This window comes from Homo sapiens, chromosome 1 (assembly GCF_000001405.40).
Source record: "Homo sapiens chromosome 1, GRCh38.p14 Primary Assembly".
Taxonomy (NCBI): Eukaryota; Metazoa; Chordata; class Mammalia; order Primates; family Hominidae; genus Homo; species Homo sapiens.
Window position 1 is genome coordinate 58,063,569 of NC_000001.11, and position 18,554 is coordinate 58,082,122.

At 42.5% G+C, this 18,554-nt stretch overlaps 1 protein-coding gene across 4 annotated transcripts in view, besides 1 other annotated feature; it reads right to left on the reverse strand.

The window, feature by feature from the left end:
* DAB1 (DAB adaptor protein 1) overlaps positions 1 to 18,554 on the reverse strand; it is a 1,551,949-nt gene that overhangs the window by 1,068,791 nt on the left and 464,604 nt on the right. The window lies entirely within an intron of this gene.
* Positions 859 to 1,360: an enhancer, noted in NCBI's record as "H3K4me1 hESC enhancer chr1:58530099-58530600 (GRCh37/hg19 assembly coordinates)". NCBI's record gives its function as "activates a minimal SCP1, AML or CMV promoter by ChIP-STARR-seq in naive H9 embryonic stem cells {active_cell/tissue: H9 hESC(naive)}" and the evidence as "EXISTENCE:reporter gene assay evidence [ECO:0000049][PMID:30033119]".

Below are 18,554 nucleotides of genomic sequence, written 5' to 3' on the forward strand. Positions count from 1 at the left end.
CATCTATCAAGCCCCTTGCAAGCTAGAGATCTTGGCCAAGCAACTGGGTGTCTCAGAGCCCTGAGTTTTTATCTGTAAAATGGGCATATTCACAACAAAAAACACTGACAGCCCACTATGTGGTCTCTGTGCTTTCCCTGCATTATCTTGCCTAGTCCACAATTTAACCCTATGAAGTAGGTCCTAGATCATCGCTATATTTCACAATGGGAAAGCCGCAGGTGGATAGCCCAAGCCAATTGCCATTTCTACAGCTGCTAAGTGGAAAAGACAAAACTGGTGCTCTATAGCCTGAACCCTTAACACCTTTAACAATAATAATAACTGATTCCCAGTGAGAAAGTGAGGAATACATGAAATTGCATGTGTAAAAGCATTTGTTGAAAATCAAAAAGTATTGCATACAGATGAGGGTGTTTATTATTTCTTCCCTCCATGGGCATGAATAGACTTACAATAAGCCAAAGAAATTTCATTTTAAATCCTACTCTCCCTTTATTCCTCAACTGTTACAGTAAAATGAGGGGCTGGGGATTTGGAGAAACAGTCAGGAGCCAAGGAACCAGCTATAGAGATATGAGATAGGGAAGAAAGAACCACGGGGCCTCGTAGCGCACATAATTTGCAAGCTGATGTACAAACTATTTGCTGGGACCAATTACTCTCATCTTAATTAATGAACACACAACCCACAATCTGTCTGAGAAATGTGAAAAAATATGGCATGTGTTTAGAGGCTGCAGTGTGCCAGCCACCAGATCTGGAAGCACCTTCCTCAGACTGCTGGGCTGGGAGTCACCATGGAGACCACGTTTTAGCATCCTAATGACACTGAAATTCAGTTCAAACCAGCTCTTCGAAGTGCCCATGTGAAGTGCTTGCTGTGTGGCTGGCCTTGGGTTAGGCGCTGTGGAGTGCTCAGAATAAAGGCAGCCCACTCCCTGCCCTAGAGGACGAAGGAGGAAGGATTGCTCGTCAACCCACCAGCCTTGATTTTGTGCCTCCAGTCTACTCAGTGCGGTGCCTGGCACTGCAGGGGACTCCAAGGCTGAGGCCACAGACTTGCATTCCAGGCATTTAACTTGGACAGTTGGTAATGACCATAGATAAATTTTTTTATTTATTTATGTATTTATTTATGTATTTATGTATTTATTTATTTATTTATTTTGAGACGGAATCTCGCTCTGTCACCCAGGCTGGAGTGCAGTGGCGTGATCTCGGCTCACTGCAAGCTCCGCCTCCCGGGTTCACGCCATTCTTCTGCCTCAGACTCTCCGAGTAGCAGGGACTACAGGCGCCCGCCACCACGCCCGGCTAATTTTTTGTATTTTTAGTAGGGACGGGGTTTCACCGTGGTCTCAATCTCCTGACCTCGTGATCCGCCCACCTCGGCCTCCCAAAATGCTGGGATTACAAGCGTGAGCCACCGCGCCCGGCCAACAATAGATAAATTTGCTGAGGGCTTATTCTGAGTTGGGTACTATGCTACCTAAGCCAGTTGCATATATTATCTCATTTTATCCTCACAACAACCCCATGAATGAATTGACTATTAACTGCTAAAATTTATTGAGCACTTACCCTGTGCTATGCATGCCCTAGGCCAAGCACTGATAGTTTCCAGGATTTAAAAGCTTGGGCAAGATCACTGGTTAGCAAGTATCACAATCAGGATTTGAATCCAGGATGTTTAGCTTCAAATGCAGGGTGAATTTAACCATTATATTATAGTACATTAATTCAACTGATACTTATTGAATGCCTTTGAGGAAGATAAGAATCTTATATTTTAGCAAATTTCAAGTATACAATACAGTATTATTGACTATAGTCAACATGCCATACAAGTATACCTTAATAAAACTGGATTTTTTAAAAAAGAGTCTAAAATAAAAGACTTATATTTTAGTAAAGGGAACTGGGTGTGAGGGGAAACAAGCAATCAACAAATTCAGTTCATGACAGACTCTGATTTGTACTGAAAAGAAAATGTACTTCATGAGTCGATACAAAGGGTGAGAATGGAACAACATGGTCCCCTCCCAGCGGAGAGTGCGCAGTGGCCATGGTCAAGTTGGCGGGCTCCCCTGAAGCAGACACCAAGACAGAGTAGTATGCAGGATGTGTATTAGGATGCGTGGTGATTTTGGAATCTACATCTGTGGAGGGGGAAAAGGAAGCAGGGGTCAGCAGAGGGAGATGTCGAGCTGCAGTGTAGGCCAGGGACAGTCTTGGCCAACCCTGAGGGAGTCCTGGAGCTTGAACAGTCATGCAGACTTGTCCTGACCTGATAACCTCCACATCAACAAGTTATTGGATGAAGGCTATCAGAGGAAGGATCTGACCTTGGGCAAGGCAGCTCCCTGTAGCCGAGGCAATCCCAGGGAAGGTTAGCAAGTGCAAGCTGTCTGCCCACTGCACTCTCAGAGGCTGGACCAACAAGTACCATCTTGAAGGGATTTCTTGATGGCACCTCACAGTGTCCACCACAAGGGTGATGGTAGAGGAATCTCTGAGGCAGTGACAACTAAGCTGATTCCTAAATAAGATGGGGAAGAGCAAGTGATGAAAGAGGCTCAAAGCAGCCTACACAGGGGGACATCTCTTCCAGGAGTGGACAAAAGGCAGATCCTCAAAACAACAAATGAATAACATGAGACACTGTGATACAGAAAAGGAAGTGGACACAATTCCAGTGTTAAACACACCAGCCAGGGGTAGGGGAAATCATGAGGAATGGGAGTATTTATTCAGCATGGCCTGTGGTTTGGGGTTGGGAAGAGAGATTGATTTGTTAGGCTTAAAACTCTCATAAACTTTTTTATGTTATAATAATCCTATGGATTTAATTAACCAAAACCACTCCCAATCAACAGAGTGTGTGGCTGTTAACAATAATAATAATTGCAAAAGAACATTAACATTATGCCAGGCCCTGTTCTAAGTGCTTTGTTTATATTAATTCTCATAATCTCACAACCATACGAAGTAGGTGTTATTTTACAGATGAAGAAACTGAGGCACAAAAAGATTGAGTAACTTGGCCAAGGTTGCATAATGAGTAAGAAGTAGAGCCAGGCTTCAAATTCAGGCATCTGGGCTCTCGGGTGGCACCTCTGACTATTGCACTGTGCTGCTGCCCCAGGTGCAAATCCCTGGCTGTATTAATAGAGGCAGAGTCCAGCTCCAGGTGCAAGAGTCTTGCTCCTCAGATACCATGAGACACTGGAATCACTTCTTTTTTGCCTGTCCGTTTTCCACCTTGCAGTCAGAGTGATCTTTTCAAAACAAAATTGAATGACATCTTTCTCTGCTGAATACCTTCAGCGACTCTACATTTCACAGGCTAAACTCATCTGGCACTCAGGGCTCTGCAGGGCCTGCTCCGGCCTCGCCATTCTCCTTGTATCCCAACACCTCCTCAGAGCCTTTGCTCATGCTGTTCTCTTCACCTGGAGTGTTTTCTCCCTCATCTCTGCTCCCCATCAGAATAGCTAATTCCTCTCATTCCACAAGCATCAGACCCTCTTGTTATTCTCTCCTATTACACACTTCCTTTTTCCTTTACAGCACTGAATATAATGTTAGTTCCTTATTTGAGTGACTAAAATCACAAATTAAATCAACAATGGTGTAATTCATTGTTTAATGTCTATTTTCCTGCTACAATGTAACTATGACGAGGAGAGGGACTCCCACGGCCTAGCCCAGTGCCTGGCATAGATGAGGCATTCGTCTAATGCTGTGGAATGCAAGAGTGAATGAATGAGCTTCTCTGATAAAGCACGTTTGTTCTGAAGAGGGAGGTCAGAGTAACTACCAGCTCTGACACCCAGGTTTCTCACCTGCAAACAATGAGATCTCCTTACATAGTTCTTGTGTGGTTAAGCATTAATGTGTGTAAAACACCTACCACAGATTCCAGGAACTAGCAGCCCATCAGTAATTGGTATCTATAATGAATCTATCTATAATATTTTGTTAGGACCATTTCAAAAAAAGTAAGGGAGACAGAGTCTATGGGTTAAGAGTGAAGTAACTGGTATCTATAATCAATCTATCTATATTATTTTGTTAGGAACATTTTAAAAAAGTACAGGAGATACAGTCTATGGGATAAGAGTGAAAATTCTGTAGCCAACACTCTAGAGTCAAATCCTAGCCATACGTATACTAGCTGGGTTTACTGCCATCTCCTTATAGGCCTCAACCAGTTCATCTGTACAATGAGTGGGGGGTAATGAGTGTTCCATACACATGCAGCTGTTGTATTGGGGATAATGAGTGTTCCATACACATAAGCTGCTGTATTAAAACAAACAAATAAAGCATTTAGGACAGTGCCTTGCACATAATAATCTTTATCTCAACAAATTTTATATACTATTGTCACAAACAGTAAGATAGTATGGAGAATTTAAAGACAGTCTTAGCCAGAAGGAAAGAAGATGAGAGGACAGGAATACAGTTCTCAAACATTTGAAGTGGAGATGCTGAGGAGAGGGACAAGTTTTCTATGTGAGACTCCAAAGAAGGTAAAATTCAGGGAAGGCTCACATTGGGTCCGTGAAGAGCACTAGTGCAGATGAGATGCCAGACAAAACAGGAAGTATCCTGGCACATAGAGGCTGGCAGCCAGGGGTGAAGTGGAGGAAACTGGGTGGAAGGTTGCAGGAGAAACCCTTAAGGGTCCTTGCATCTCTATCGTTCTGAGGTAGGAGGCTTCTATAATGCTTTTGAATTCCACGCAGTAGTGTTTTCTTTCTTTAATTCACCTATATATAGCGGGGAAAAGGATGCATTCATTCACTATTTGTCAGGAACATAGCAAAGCTCAAAAAGATGTCTGTTTGGATTTCTGGAACATTTCAGAACCTCAAAAGAAAGATTATAGGTTAAAAGCACCATGATCGCCTGGGCATGGTGGCTCACGCCTGTAATCCCAGCACTTTGGGGGGCAGAGGCGGGCGGATCACGAGGTCAGGAGATCGAGACCATCCTGGCTAACACGGTGAAACCCCATCTCTACTAATAATACAAAAAAATTAGCTGGGTGTGGTGGTGGGGGCCTGTAGTCCCAGCTACTCGGGAGGCTGAGGCAGGATAATGGCGTGAATCTGGGAGGCAGAGCTTGCAGTGAGCTGAGATTGCACCACTGCACTCCAGCCTGGGCAACAGAGTGAGACTCCATCTCAAAAAAAAAAAAAAACCAAAAAAAAAAAAGAAAGCATCATTATCTCTGACTCTTGGGTCCAATGTTCTTCCAAATTAGTATGAGAATGAGTGGGAATGAAGAAAGGCAAACTGCACCTCTAATGTGTTCACTACTGTCACTTACGCTTGGTGTGACACACAACACCACAGTCTCCTTGGGCTTCACGAGGCTTTCAGGGCTCTGACCCTGGAGGGCTGGGTGTGCAGAGTCCATCCTTGTTGCATTAGAAGAGCACACAAAGACATGTTGAAGGAGGCTATTCTGGTAGGCTCGGACATGCTATATGACGGCTTTGTCAAAGAGTAATATGCTCTTATGTGCATCACTCCACAGTACATAATACACAGTCTCATTCCATGTAGACTTCAAAATAATTCCATGACATAACTTTTCATTCACTCACTAAATTATCCAACATGCGTTTGTTGAGCACTTACATCTATTGCCTGCTTACTGTATACCAGGCACTGTTTTAGGTGCTCACCAAACTTACCCTCTTAACCTCATACTTGAAGAAACAGACACAGAGATTAAGTTTGTCCAAGGCTTCCAACCGAGGCACCGTCCTCTAAAACAACAGTACTTACTGTCCTGATTTAATAATAATGATGAATAATTAATTTTGTCTACCATAATTAGCATAAATAACAAGAATTGTAACTATCCTTTGTACTTTACGGCGTACCAAGAATACATACATAACCAATCCTATGCACTGTGGCGGGCAATTGTCCCTATTTTAAAAATAAACATGCTAAGGCCCAGAGAGGTTAATTAACAAGCCCCAGTTCACCCAGACAGCGAGTAGACAGAGGAGTCTGCTCTGTGACTGTCACTGTCTGTCCCTCAATGCATGTTCAGCACAACACACCTAATATCAATAATTAGTGTCTCCATGTTGAAATGATATCTTATGTAATACATCCATTATTTAATTTGATCTCTCCACGAACCCAATGAGATAAAAAGCATTATCCCCATTTCAGAGCTGAGGAAACTGAGGCTCAAAAAGTTGTCAACATGTACTAGATATGTGGAGGGCTTGAGTCAGGCTTCAAACCCACATTTTCTTATTCCAACACCTATGCTTTTTTCATTAACCTTCCCTGCCAAATATTCACCTATAATGCCTCTTGCGGAGACATAGAAAGCTGCTGCCCTTGCCCACAGAGTCAGTGCCCCAGGCATTCTCTTTCTCTTCCTTTCAGCTATCCCAGCCCAGAGATTTTGGGGAAGCAGCATGGAGAGAAGCTCATGCCTTGCTCAATACTAGGCCAGGCACTTGGGGACCCAACCATCAGGGAGCTGACACAATTTCAGATGCTTGCTGCCCTAATTATTTGATGATCTGTCATCACAGAGATAGAACTGTGATGCGGGGAGTGGCATTCTGCTTTTGCCTAGGCAAAAGAAAGACAGCTAAAAATGCTTCAGTTTCAGTTTACAGAAGAGAAATCTCCACCAAAGTCTATGATCAATCCCAAATATTGGTTCAGAAAGAAGGATGGAAGGGAATTGGGCAGTTGTGGAGCATCTACTGTGTGCCAGACATCATGCTGGCAAAGATGTCACACAGTACATGGATTTGCTGGTTTGGTCATCACAACAACCCCATGAGAGAGGGATACATACTTGCGATTTGTAGGTGAGGAAGCTAAGGATAGTAGTGGTGGATGAGCCAGACACCTGGGGCAGGAGCGGGGCAAGAATCTCAGTCTTACTTCTGCAGAAGTCACATAATGGCTTTAACCAGGAGCATGATTTAGTTGGAACTGTGTTCTAGAAATATTCCTCTGCTGCAGTGAACTGAGTTCATTTGAGAAGGTAAAGACTGGAGGCAAAGGAGGATGAAGTACATTGTGTGAGATGGGATGCAGGCCTGTGGCTAGGATAGGCATGCGAGGAGTGGCTAGACTCGGGACTCATCAGGATGCTGAATCCGCATCTCTAGAAGGCCAATGGAGGCCCAGAAGCAGGACAGGAGTGAGGAGGAGGCAAGGTCACAGTCAGGCTGGAACATGGGTCTCTGGCCTGTGTGACCGGATGAATGGAGCTGCTGCAAGCTGGTGTAGGAAGGCAGGCTCAAGGGCACAGATGTTGAATTAAGTGTGGAAATGTTGAGTGTCAGGTGCCTGAGAGTGATCCAGGTGGAGACGCCCAGTTCACAAGTTTCCCCTGGAGCTCAGGAGAGAGCCTGGACCATAGAGAAGCTGCCAGAAGAGACTTGGTGGTTGCAGCCAGGAATGTGGAGGGAATGGCTATGAGAGGATGTGTAGTGTGATGTGGGAGTGGGGAGTAGAACAGAGCTCTGGGGACACCAAGATGGGCCTTTTCAGAGGCTTAGCAAGAATGGCCAGATGGGCAGGAGGAAACGAGGAAAATCTACATTTGCTTTTAAAGAATGAAGTTCTTTCGTGTGTTGTATTCTTGAAGAAATGAAGGGTGTTACTAATCCAGCTGAGGAAGGATTCTCTGATGTGATCTGTACTATCCTGGGAGAACACACAGTATGGATGGGGAAGATCCAGAATCCATGTGAAGAAGAAATAGGAACTCTACCTCCATCAAAGGAGAATGGTGTGTGTGTGTGTGTGTGTGTGTGTGTGTGTGTGTGTGTGTGGGTGGGGAGAGACTGAAGTTCCCGCTGCTGGGCTGCTAAGAGAAGGGTGAGCAAGGACTGTGCTGTGGCTCCTCTAGGTGTCTGTGCTGAGAAAGGCATGGTGTCATTGCTTTTTGACATGGCACTGATGTTTGGTTCACCAGGTGATGCCAACCAAACATGGAGGTTGCCTTAAAGCATTAACCTGAGTCTGAAGAATGAACACATGGAAATGATGCTCATGATGAGGTAAGTTTTACACAAGCCTTGAGGTTCATGAAGAAGCTATGATTTTGCCAGCACGATAACTGAGACAGATAACTCTCCACTCTCCTGTATCCTTCAAAAGTAGGAACAGTCAAGAAATGCATGTGAACACACAGAATCACAGGATCTTAGGACTGGAAGGGACCTGAATTCTCATTTTTCTAATTGACAATTGATTAATTAACTTGTGAATTCATCATTCACTCTACAAATATTTATAGAGCATTTATTATTTCCAAGCATTATTCTAGGCCTGGGGGATTCAACAAAGAACAAAACCAACTATAATTCCCACCCTCTTGAAGCTTACATTCTAGTAAGGAACATGCAAAAGTTAAAAGGTAAATAATTAAAATATACCATGTTAGATGGTGGGGAGTCCTCCAGAGAAAAATAAAGCAGGATAGGGGATAGCAAACATTATTGGTGGGGTGGGGGGGGGTGGGTAGTAGGGAAGGTTTTGCAATTTTAAATAAATTAATCATCATGAACTCTTTTTATGATATCTCAATGAATGGTCTTCCTTCTTTATACTTTTTTCACACCCATTAGTTAATTTGATGCTTGTTAAAAACTTGAGAAAGACAAATATTGCCATAATCAGAGCAAAGTTATTAAATATTTATTTTGGGCCATTCATAGTGTTGACTGGTTCACAACTACTATCTCATATTATCTTCACACCAATATGGAGGTAGTTACTGTCATTATCCCATTTTACAAAATTAACAATCCAGAAGCAAAAAACCCTAGTTTTCATCCTGGACTCAAAGTGCAGTCTTGCCACCTACCATCTCTATGACAGTAGGTGGATTGCTTAATTTTTCCAATCCTCAGTTTCCTCATATGCAAGATGGGAGTAACAAGACCTCACCCACAGAGTTGCTGTGAGAATTATGTGTGTGACAGAGTAGGAATCAAGTCAGATAGATCTGTCTGATTCCGAAGAACAAACCTTCAAGCACAAACTATCCTGTCTCATTTTTTGAGATGAGGAAATTGCTGAGCAGCAGTGATTACAGTAATGATAAGATGACAACATTGATATGATCATGCAAAATCTCTCCAACTCAGCAGCTTAAGCGATCAATTTAGACAAGAACAATAAAATCCTTTGCAGTTCGCAAGCCTTGAATTCGTGATACAGCTGTAACCAAGGGGAAAGCAAGGCTGTATTATATGCAACATCAAATTTTTCCAGGTTTCCTATTCACTTTCCAGATTCGGTGCTTCCAAATAGATAAGTGTGTGTGTCCACAACACTGGCCATGATAATAATTGCTAACACTTTTATAGTGCTTCTATAGTGCAGCATAATGAAAGTAGTTTATACATAACTCATTTAATATTCACCAACCTTAATGAGGTAGTTACTGTTATTTGTATTATTATAGCTATTTTATAATGGGGAAACAGAAGCTCATAGAAGTCAAGTAACTTACCCATCACACAGTTCTAAGTAATAGAACTGGCATGTGATCCCAGGCATTCTGATGTCAAGAGTCCATGTTCTTGACACCTATGCTATACAGAACTAGCTGCGTTAGCCAAATAACCATGCTTTGTCCATTGTTCTGCCTTCACACATACTGTGTTGTCTGTCTGGAATACTGTTCTTTCCTCTCTCCTCTTTCCACCTTCCCAACTGATTAAATTTCATTTTCTCCTCAGCATCATCTCCCCTGGAAAGTCCTCTCTGACTCTACCCACCCTCAATTTCCACTGTGGATGCCCTCTCCTCTTCTCTGGGCTCATAGAGCACCCTGTGCCAACCTTTATCATAGCACCTGAGTAGAAACTCAAAACATTCTGTACTTGCTCTCCCCAGGGCCCCTACAGTAGACTGTGACTTCCTTTAAGCCTAAGACTATGTCTGGTAGAATACAGTCTTCTGAAACATAGTAAGTCCTTCATAAATATTTGCTGAGTATATAGACAGATTAAATGTTGACCATATTGGATGCATTAATGGTTGCAGCCCCAGCATGCATACTTTCTGGGTTTTGAAATTCTAACTAGGGAATTTTAAAGTGGGAAATTCAGGTAGAATTTGGAATGGGGATGGGGCAGCTGACTGGCCCAAGTCAATGTGTCTCTGTGATTTGTTAAGCCTTCAGCACAATCCTTTACACTAGCCAGAGTAATCCAGTGTGTGCAATTAACTTACGAAGGTATAATTAGAGGAAGGTGGGAAATTAGTTCAGAAGGTGAATGAATGGAAATACTGCTCACTCTCTAAGGGAAGCAGAAGGCCCGGAACCCCTGGGGACATCCTCAGCTATCTTAAGTCCTCAAAGAGATAAAAATGACTCCACGAAAAGTAGATCAAAAGGACAGAAAGAACATATCCATGTGATATTGATGAGACACAGGTTCAAACCAACCTTGAGTTCTTCTATCCTTCTGGACTTCTCAAATACATGAGCCGGTAAATTCCACTATTGTTTAAGTCTCTTTGAGTTGGGTTTTCTATTACTTGCAACCAAACACGTTATAAATAGGTTGCTGTTTAGCTGACTTCAAAGGTTGCAGATAGGAGGAAGGGTACCACATGAAGGAATATTAATATCATGAGAGATGTTACTAGAATTGTACTTAAAATTTATTCTGTGGTCATTGGGTACCTACTGACAGTTTTAGAGCAGAGGAGAGCTACTCTTGGAGCTGTGGCTTAGAAATATAATTCTGTTGCACTAGGCTTCAACTGCTATTCTGTATATACATATTTTTCTCTTTCATTTTACAGGTTAATAATCACACAAAAAGAATAATTGTAAGTATCCAGGATTTCTACTAGTTGGTAAAAAAAAAAAAAAGAATTATCTCTGAAGTGGAAAATGACATTCTCAGGGAAGATTCTAATATATATACATATATATATATATATATATACACACATATATATATGTGTGTATATATATATATATATATATATATATATATTTGAGAAACAGATGGTATCTCAGAGCCTCAAGTCTGTTGGCTTGTAACAGCAAGGCAACGAACTTTATGCCAACAAGTAAACTCGTCTTCCCAGGAAAATGGCAAACCCCTCAATCACGTGGCCTCCAGTGATACTGCCAGTATGAAGTGTTTAGATTCCCCAGGCGAAAATAAGAAACTTTGCCACAGCAGTAACTAGAAAGAAAAGACTGTGGTTTAGGGAGATAAGGAAAGGCAGGGAACATTTCCTGAACTTCTAGTCAGCATCATGTAATATGCTACGTGCCTGTCATCTATCAGCTCACTCTGTCCCCCGGGAGCAGGGATGCAGACTCCAGCCTTCATGGCTTCAAAGTGCACCATGTTATGGACAAACAAAGTTTCCAAAGCTGAATTGTGAAGGTGCCAGGCAAACACTTCCACCAACAGAACCCAGCTCAAATACTACCTCTTCCATCCAGCTTGCATAACTTTATCTGCTCTTTAGTTTGTTCCTTCTCTGGATTCTAAAAGCTTGTCCCAGCCAATTAAATTCCAACCACCTAGGAAACAGAGAATTTCTTTTCTGTTCATCTCTGTTCTTTAGGAATTATTGTTTAATCACTTTTTTAATAGAAAGCATTTTAAGGTGGATTGAGAAGAAAAGAGGGCATGGTAGTTAGTAAAGTCTGTTCAAAAATACTCTGGGATTCCTTATTTACACATGGTGAGATTGTACTTCTCCTCCCCGTGAAAGATAAGTGTGGTCATGTGACTTTTTTGGCTAATGAAATTGTGAGCAGAAGCAATCTGTGTCACTTCCAAGTGGAAGGTTTAGAGCCAGTGCACAGTTTGCCACATTCCCTTCCTTACTAAAGTTACTGTGGAGGCCTGTGTCAAGAAAAAGCCTCTATCTTTGAGTGAGGATGATAAGGCAGAGAGCTCCCTGGTGATTGTGTATGTTGGCCTATAGAAGGAGCAAAACCTGTGTAGTATTAAACCATCTTGATTTGTGTATGGAATGTTTGTTACTGCAGCATAAATTAAGCTGTCCTGATTGATTCAAAAGGATTTGTCAAAAATGACATAGAAGTGTCCTCAGAATTCAAGGTCACAAATGCAGCTGGGCTTCAAGAATGTACTAGAACCAAGGTCTAGAGAGCTGTCCGACTCTCTCTCCCTCTCCTGTATTCCCCTCTGTGTGTCCTCCAACTCTGCTGCCTTTCTCTGGCTCTATCTCTGTCCCTCTTTGTGAATCTCTCTGTTTTTCTTCCTGCTCCTCCAGTCTACCCAGGTGGGAAGTAGAGGGAAGATGTTTTCACCAACGCTATTGAGAATATCTGTTACAAGTCTTTCTCTCTCTCTCTCTCACAGGCACACACACACACACAAACACAATACTCGGCTTCATTTCCAAATTTCTAGAGAAGGGACTCTGATCAGCTCAACTTAAATTCATATGAGGTCCCAACCCCTAGTCCAATCAAATACGGCCAAGGGATGAAAGAAAAGGAAATAGTGAGGTGGGCATTTAAGAAGGGTTACTGTAAGTTGATATATAATAATAGTAACTAGCACTGAGACAAAGATCCTTCTGTGATGGTGATGGTTCATGTCTATTTACTCTCTTAATCTTCAGAACAACTATATATGTATACTAATATCACAAGCTCCATTTTATAGATGAGAAAATGGAAACATGTAGAGATTAATTAATTTGCCCAAAGTCACAGGTGATAAGCAGGAGATCAGAGATGTGCACCCAGGAAGTCTCACACAAGAGTTTTTGCACTTCACCCAAGGCCATGCTGCCTCTTATATAATAATTGGCAACTATTATAAGCACTTTGTTTCTCCCGGCCAACTCTGGGTTCCTGCAGAGTGGAAATCCATGTCTAGTATCCTCCCTAGAAGAGTGTTAAAAGAAAGGAGCCAGCATGTACTAAGTGCCATGCTAGAAGCATCCACACTAAAGGATTGTTGTCACTTAATGGCAGGAGATGTTCTCAGAGTTAAAAGACTTGCCCAAGGTTTCCTAATTAGTAAACGATAGAGTCATGGCTCAGATCCAAGTCTTCTCATTCTAAATCTAGCAGTCTTTCCAGTTCTACTGCACCAGGGTTTTTGTACTCATGTCAAGAATCATAAATAAACTCGAACAAATCTATTTCCCCTCCTCCTCGCTGCCCTCAAAAGGCAGTGACACCAAGGGCTCTGAAGGCAGTGACAGAAGCTCCTTTCTTGTAGCTACACTGATGAAGCTGAGAAGCTTCAGGGAGAGGTCAGATGGCCAAGCTGCAGCCTAGTGATGTTCATGGAATGAAGCTGGAAGGGAGTCTTCCTGGGTCATCTTCATCTAGGTAACTGCACATCTGACTTTTCTAGACCATTTTTCTAAGGATGGTCCTCCTAACATCAGACTGTGTCTTATTGGCTCAGGCCCTGTGCAAGCAAAGCCTTCAGGAGCAATGCTTGTTATTGTTGCTGAGTTCTGGTGGGGTTGAGGCAGGCAGGGGCTGACTTTACCCACACCCCTTCTCTATAGGGAATAATTATAATAAAAAAAAACAATAACAATGATAATGATAATACCATCAGTGGGTCACTTGCCACTGACCAGTCACAAGTACACTCATATGCTAATCCAATCCTTACTTAAAGAGGAGGAAAGGCTAAGTGATTTGTCCAAGGTCACATAGCAAATAGGTAAAACACCAAAATTTCAATTCACATTTATCTGATGCCTCCAGCTTTCCCCTGCATGGCGGTTTCACATCAGTGGACAGATGATCCACAGCAAGCCGAGAAACGACCTTGAAATTGACCAAAGGGGTTCATCACTCCCTAGATGAGGAGGAAAGAGGAAAGTGGTACAGTCTGGCAAATAATGAGAATGAAGAAGAAGGTGGAGACAACAATGGATAGGAAGAGAGAAATAACAGGAGGGAGAGAAACACCAGCAGAACAAAGCTTGCATTGACAATCTTATGTAATTCCAACAGGTCTGGAGAAGAAAAATATGGAGAAGGATTACAGGCTGGGTAATTGTTCTTCTGACCTTAGCTCTCCAAAGATCAATGGGTGCCCCAGCAGCTAACTGACAAAGTACCCCACTATTCCTCAAACCCAACTACTTTTCCAGGAGAAAGGAGAAAGGAAAGATTGACGGCTTCCAAAGGCTGGGGAGCACGTTCCCCTCATGCTGCATCTGTACCTGGGAATCCACACTTGGTCTTTCAGTGCCCAAGGACCACCTCAAGTCTCAGAGGGCAGGGTGCAAGGAGTTGGCAATTATTGACCCTAAAGTTCTGAGACGAGCAGCACCAGGCTCTGAGCCAAGCTGTGCTCGAGTCTGAGTTCAAAGGCATGTGGATTCATTTTTTCTCTTTAATAATTCACTTTGTCTTTCTGCAGCTGAGATTAGCAATTTACAACTACCTTTGGGCATGCCTGCTGGCCCCAGGGAAGGAGAGAGGAGAATCCAAGAAGGTAAGCAGAACTCAGACAACAGGAAACACCACTCTAACCCCTGCCTTCCAGCATAGGGTGCCTCCCCATTGGGGCTCAAGCATTCCCTGCATCTTATCTGCTCCTTTCAGGATTTGGAGAGATACTGTAGAAAGTCTTCCACCACTTTTTATCTTAACTCCTTAAAGAACTTCTGCCCTGACCCCCTAAATCCTTTCTTGTTCTGGGGGCTTGGGCTAGAGAATTCTTTGATTAATTAGCCCAGTGATCTTGAAGAAGTTCCTTGATATCACTATACCTGAGTTTCCATATCTAGAAAATGGGGATAATTGATGTATGTTCCTCATAGTGTCAAAGTGAGGATCAAATAGGTTAATATATATGTAAATTGATTAAAACATAGCTTGGCATTCAGTAAATGTGCAATGTAAGTTTCCAAGAAGGAAGTTAAAGAGTTTTTTTACCTTGTTCTCTCCCTTGAGCCTAAAGTCCTATGATGTTAGCTCCCTGCAGCCTCTGCTCAAACAAAACAGAGGGCAAGAATCACTGGAAATAGGATGAGAAAGAAAAGGAAAAAACAATAAAGATAAATAGTATTTGCTGAGTATTAATTATATGCCAGACATATGCTTGAGGTTTCCACACGTGTTAATTTTAATATTAATAAATATAATGATAGTAACATTGTTATAGTGAACATAATGCCAAATCACTTCACCCAAGGCGAGTCCCATTAGAGGGCATTAAACACATGAGATTACTATTCCTGACAATAATATGAAAAAACAGGTTCCTTTCATCATATCTGTTGTGGAGTTGAGCTCAGGGAATTTGGGAGACTTGGTTTTTGGTGGCTGGATTCAAAGTGAGACATTGACTTTACATAGCACCATAGAAAGCATGACATTGTTACTGGCCAAGGCCATCTGGAGAGCAGGCTGATGAGAATAACTCACAGGATCAAGACGGAAGAGCAGGCACCTCATTCAGGGATGGATTTTCTTTATTTTCATCATCAGATGATGTGGGCAGGTAGGGCATTAAACCTCCTCAAGATCCAAAAAAAGAAACAAAGGCTCAGAGAAGTCAGGTGGCTTGACCAAAGTCACAAAGTAGACGTGGGTTAGATGACCCACTGAGGTGTCCCCACAGGACACTGCAGGTCTCATGGCCCACTATCACCTAGGGCTCCCCTCAGACATCACATCATCAGGGAACCCCTCCCAGACCATCCTGGCAGAAACAACACCCTCCACTGCACCCTCTCCACTTACTGTGCCCATCCTCATTTGGAGTGCTCATTATTACCACTTACCACTGCATCATGTACTTATCTATCTTATTATCTGCCCATCATCAACAGCTAAGGTTCATGGGACAGGGAAGTTTGTTCACTGTTAAATTCCCAGCACTTATGACAGTGCTTGGCATAGGATCAGCACTCAATATTGTTAAATGAATGAGCATACCATCTTTTTTTTTTTTTTTTTTTTTTTTTGAGATGGAGTCTCGCTCTGTCGCCCAGGTTGGAGTGCAATGGCGCAATCTCGGCTCACTGCAACCTCTGCCTCCCGGTTCAAGCAATTCTCTGCCTCAGCCTCCCGAGTAGCTGGGATTACAGGCACCTGCCACCACGCCTGGCTAATTTTTGTATTTTTAGTAGAGACAGGGTTTCACTATCTTGGCCACGTTGACCTTGAACTCCTGACCTCATGATCCACCTGCCTCAACCTCCCAAAGTGCTGGGATTACAGGTGTGAGCCACTGCACCTGGCCGAGCATACCATCTTTTAATTGCCTTATTTTCATATGTTTCCACTATCTAAAACCTCTATAAGGTCAGGGATCGAATTTTAAGTGTCTACTATAGAGCTTGGCACATAGGTGCTTCATAAGTGTTTTGAAATGAATGAATAAGGTAGATCAAAGTATTTAACTCTCATCCTAGCCTTTGTTTCTGTTTTTCAGGTCCTGGAAAGTTACCAGAAAGGATGAGTTTCGAGGCAGTTGCATGTAAATGTGGCTTAGCCAATGGGAAAGGAAGGGATATGTGTCCTGGTACAGGTATTTGAGAAATGTACAGTCCATCTGTTAAGGTGTGCTCAACCCCCAACCATTGTCCACACTTCAGTGACTTAATCAGTAGAGACCCCAAATTCATGTCCAGTGACTTTGACATCTTCGAGCTGAAGGACTGATCTCTCATTTTTTCAATAACACTTTATGACTTAATCAAGATTCTGAGAGTTTGTTTTTTAATACCCAAAGGGTCCGTGACTTCAAAAGATGTGAAAACTCTTCCTCATCTGTTGATAGCACATTTTTCTCCATCCAAGGGAGGAAAAATAAGCCCAGTCAGGTAAGCACCCGGAATAACAGATGTGTTTTTCCAAGATTATGCCCAAGGGACAGAAAATAAAGATTCCGCTGGATACAGACGTCCTAAAAGCAGCAAGTTTATCCTGTAACCTTGCCAAGGCAATGTCTGCCATTCTCAATGCTAAGCCAGAGTAAGAGAGAAAAGAATATTCAAGGAGTAAATCAACTTGAAGCTCCAAGTCAAACAAGAAGTTAGTCATTAAATTTGGGCTGTGCCTCTCATTCCTCACTGTCGTAGAATTTTAGCAGAGCTAGTTTTGTCTTGAAGGCTGAGACACACTGGAAGGAATCAGAAAGGCCTGTGTTGGGATCAACGCTCTGCCATTTATTGCATGAATACAGGTAAGTGACTTAGCCTCTCTGATTTGAGGAATGTTTGGAAGGCAGACATCACCCCAAAATAACTACCCATCCTGCAACTGATGTTTGCTATCATACAATTAACAGTAAGTTTTCCCTGCTATTAAGGATTCCCATTATCTGCAGTCCTGCTTAATTCAGAAGAACTAGGAGACCAAACACTAGCAACATGCCAAGGACATTGAGCTAATGAGTGGCAGAACCTGGACTCAAGCTCATACCTGCTCAGCTCCAAAGCCTATGCTCTTATCACTATCCCTTCTTATCTTCCAATAGGTGACCAAGAAAGCCAGTACCCACAGGCTGGGCTCAAATTAAATCAAGCTTAATACCTAATCCTAATTAAGACAGCAGTATGGAACAGAGAAAATAGCACTGAACCAGGTTTGGACACTTATGAGGTTTGTATGACCCTAAAAAAGTGTTCATTTTACTTTACTGAGCTTCAGTTTTCCTCATAGGAAAACTAGGAATAATGCCCATGTCAGTCAAGGTAGGATAAATTGTGACGCAGCAACAAATAGCACCAGAATGCCAGTGATTTAAAGCAATGAAGATTTTCTTTGTTTTGTTTTTTGCTGGTGCCATGTGTACCTCTCAGTTCATCTGTCATCTGGGGCTTCTTCTCTACACTAGCCTCACTCCAGAACCTATGCTGATGGAGCAGCCATTGATTGGAACACTTCTGCCCACCCTTGTGGAGGAAACAGAGAAACTGAGATGGCCTCATGCCTGCACTTAAATGCTCAGCTTGAAGTTGACAATTATTTCACAACTTCTTAGAAAGAACTGGTTACATAGTATCCCCAACCACTGTGGGCCAGAAATCATGCTCCTACTATTCTCTTAGAAGAATGAAGAGTTGAACCATTTGGTGAATGGCATATTTAATGGCTACCCAGTTGCCCACCTGGGCTACTTCAAAGGGCTGCCAGTAAGATTAAGTAAAAAAACTTGTAGGAAGATGTAGTATAGTAATCTCTACATTTTTGAGCCTTAGAGAGCAGTAAATGAATAATTCCCCATCTCTTTTTTTTCCCCCACTTGAATGTACTTTCTTCTGAGAAATTTGATTGGTGGGGACTTGTAGTGTTTCTGCTGAGGTCAGATGCTTGCATTTCCTAGCTAATACTGTCACAAGACATTGAAATGGTAAAGCCAACTCTGAGCCCATGAAAAAAGTGTTTAATATGTGAAAAAGATTATAGAATTCTAGGATTTTAGATCTACAAGAGATTTGGCAGTCCTCAGTCCATGTGCTTATTTTTTCAGAGAAAGTAAGAGAAGCCCAGAGAAGGACCATGACTTGCCCACAGCCAGACAGCAAGATAGTGGCAGGGC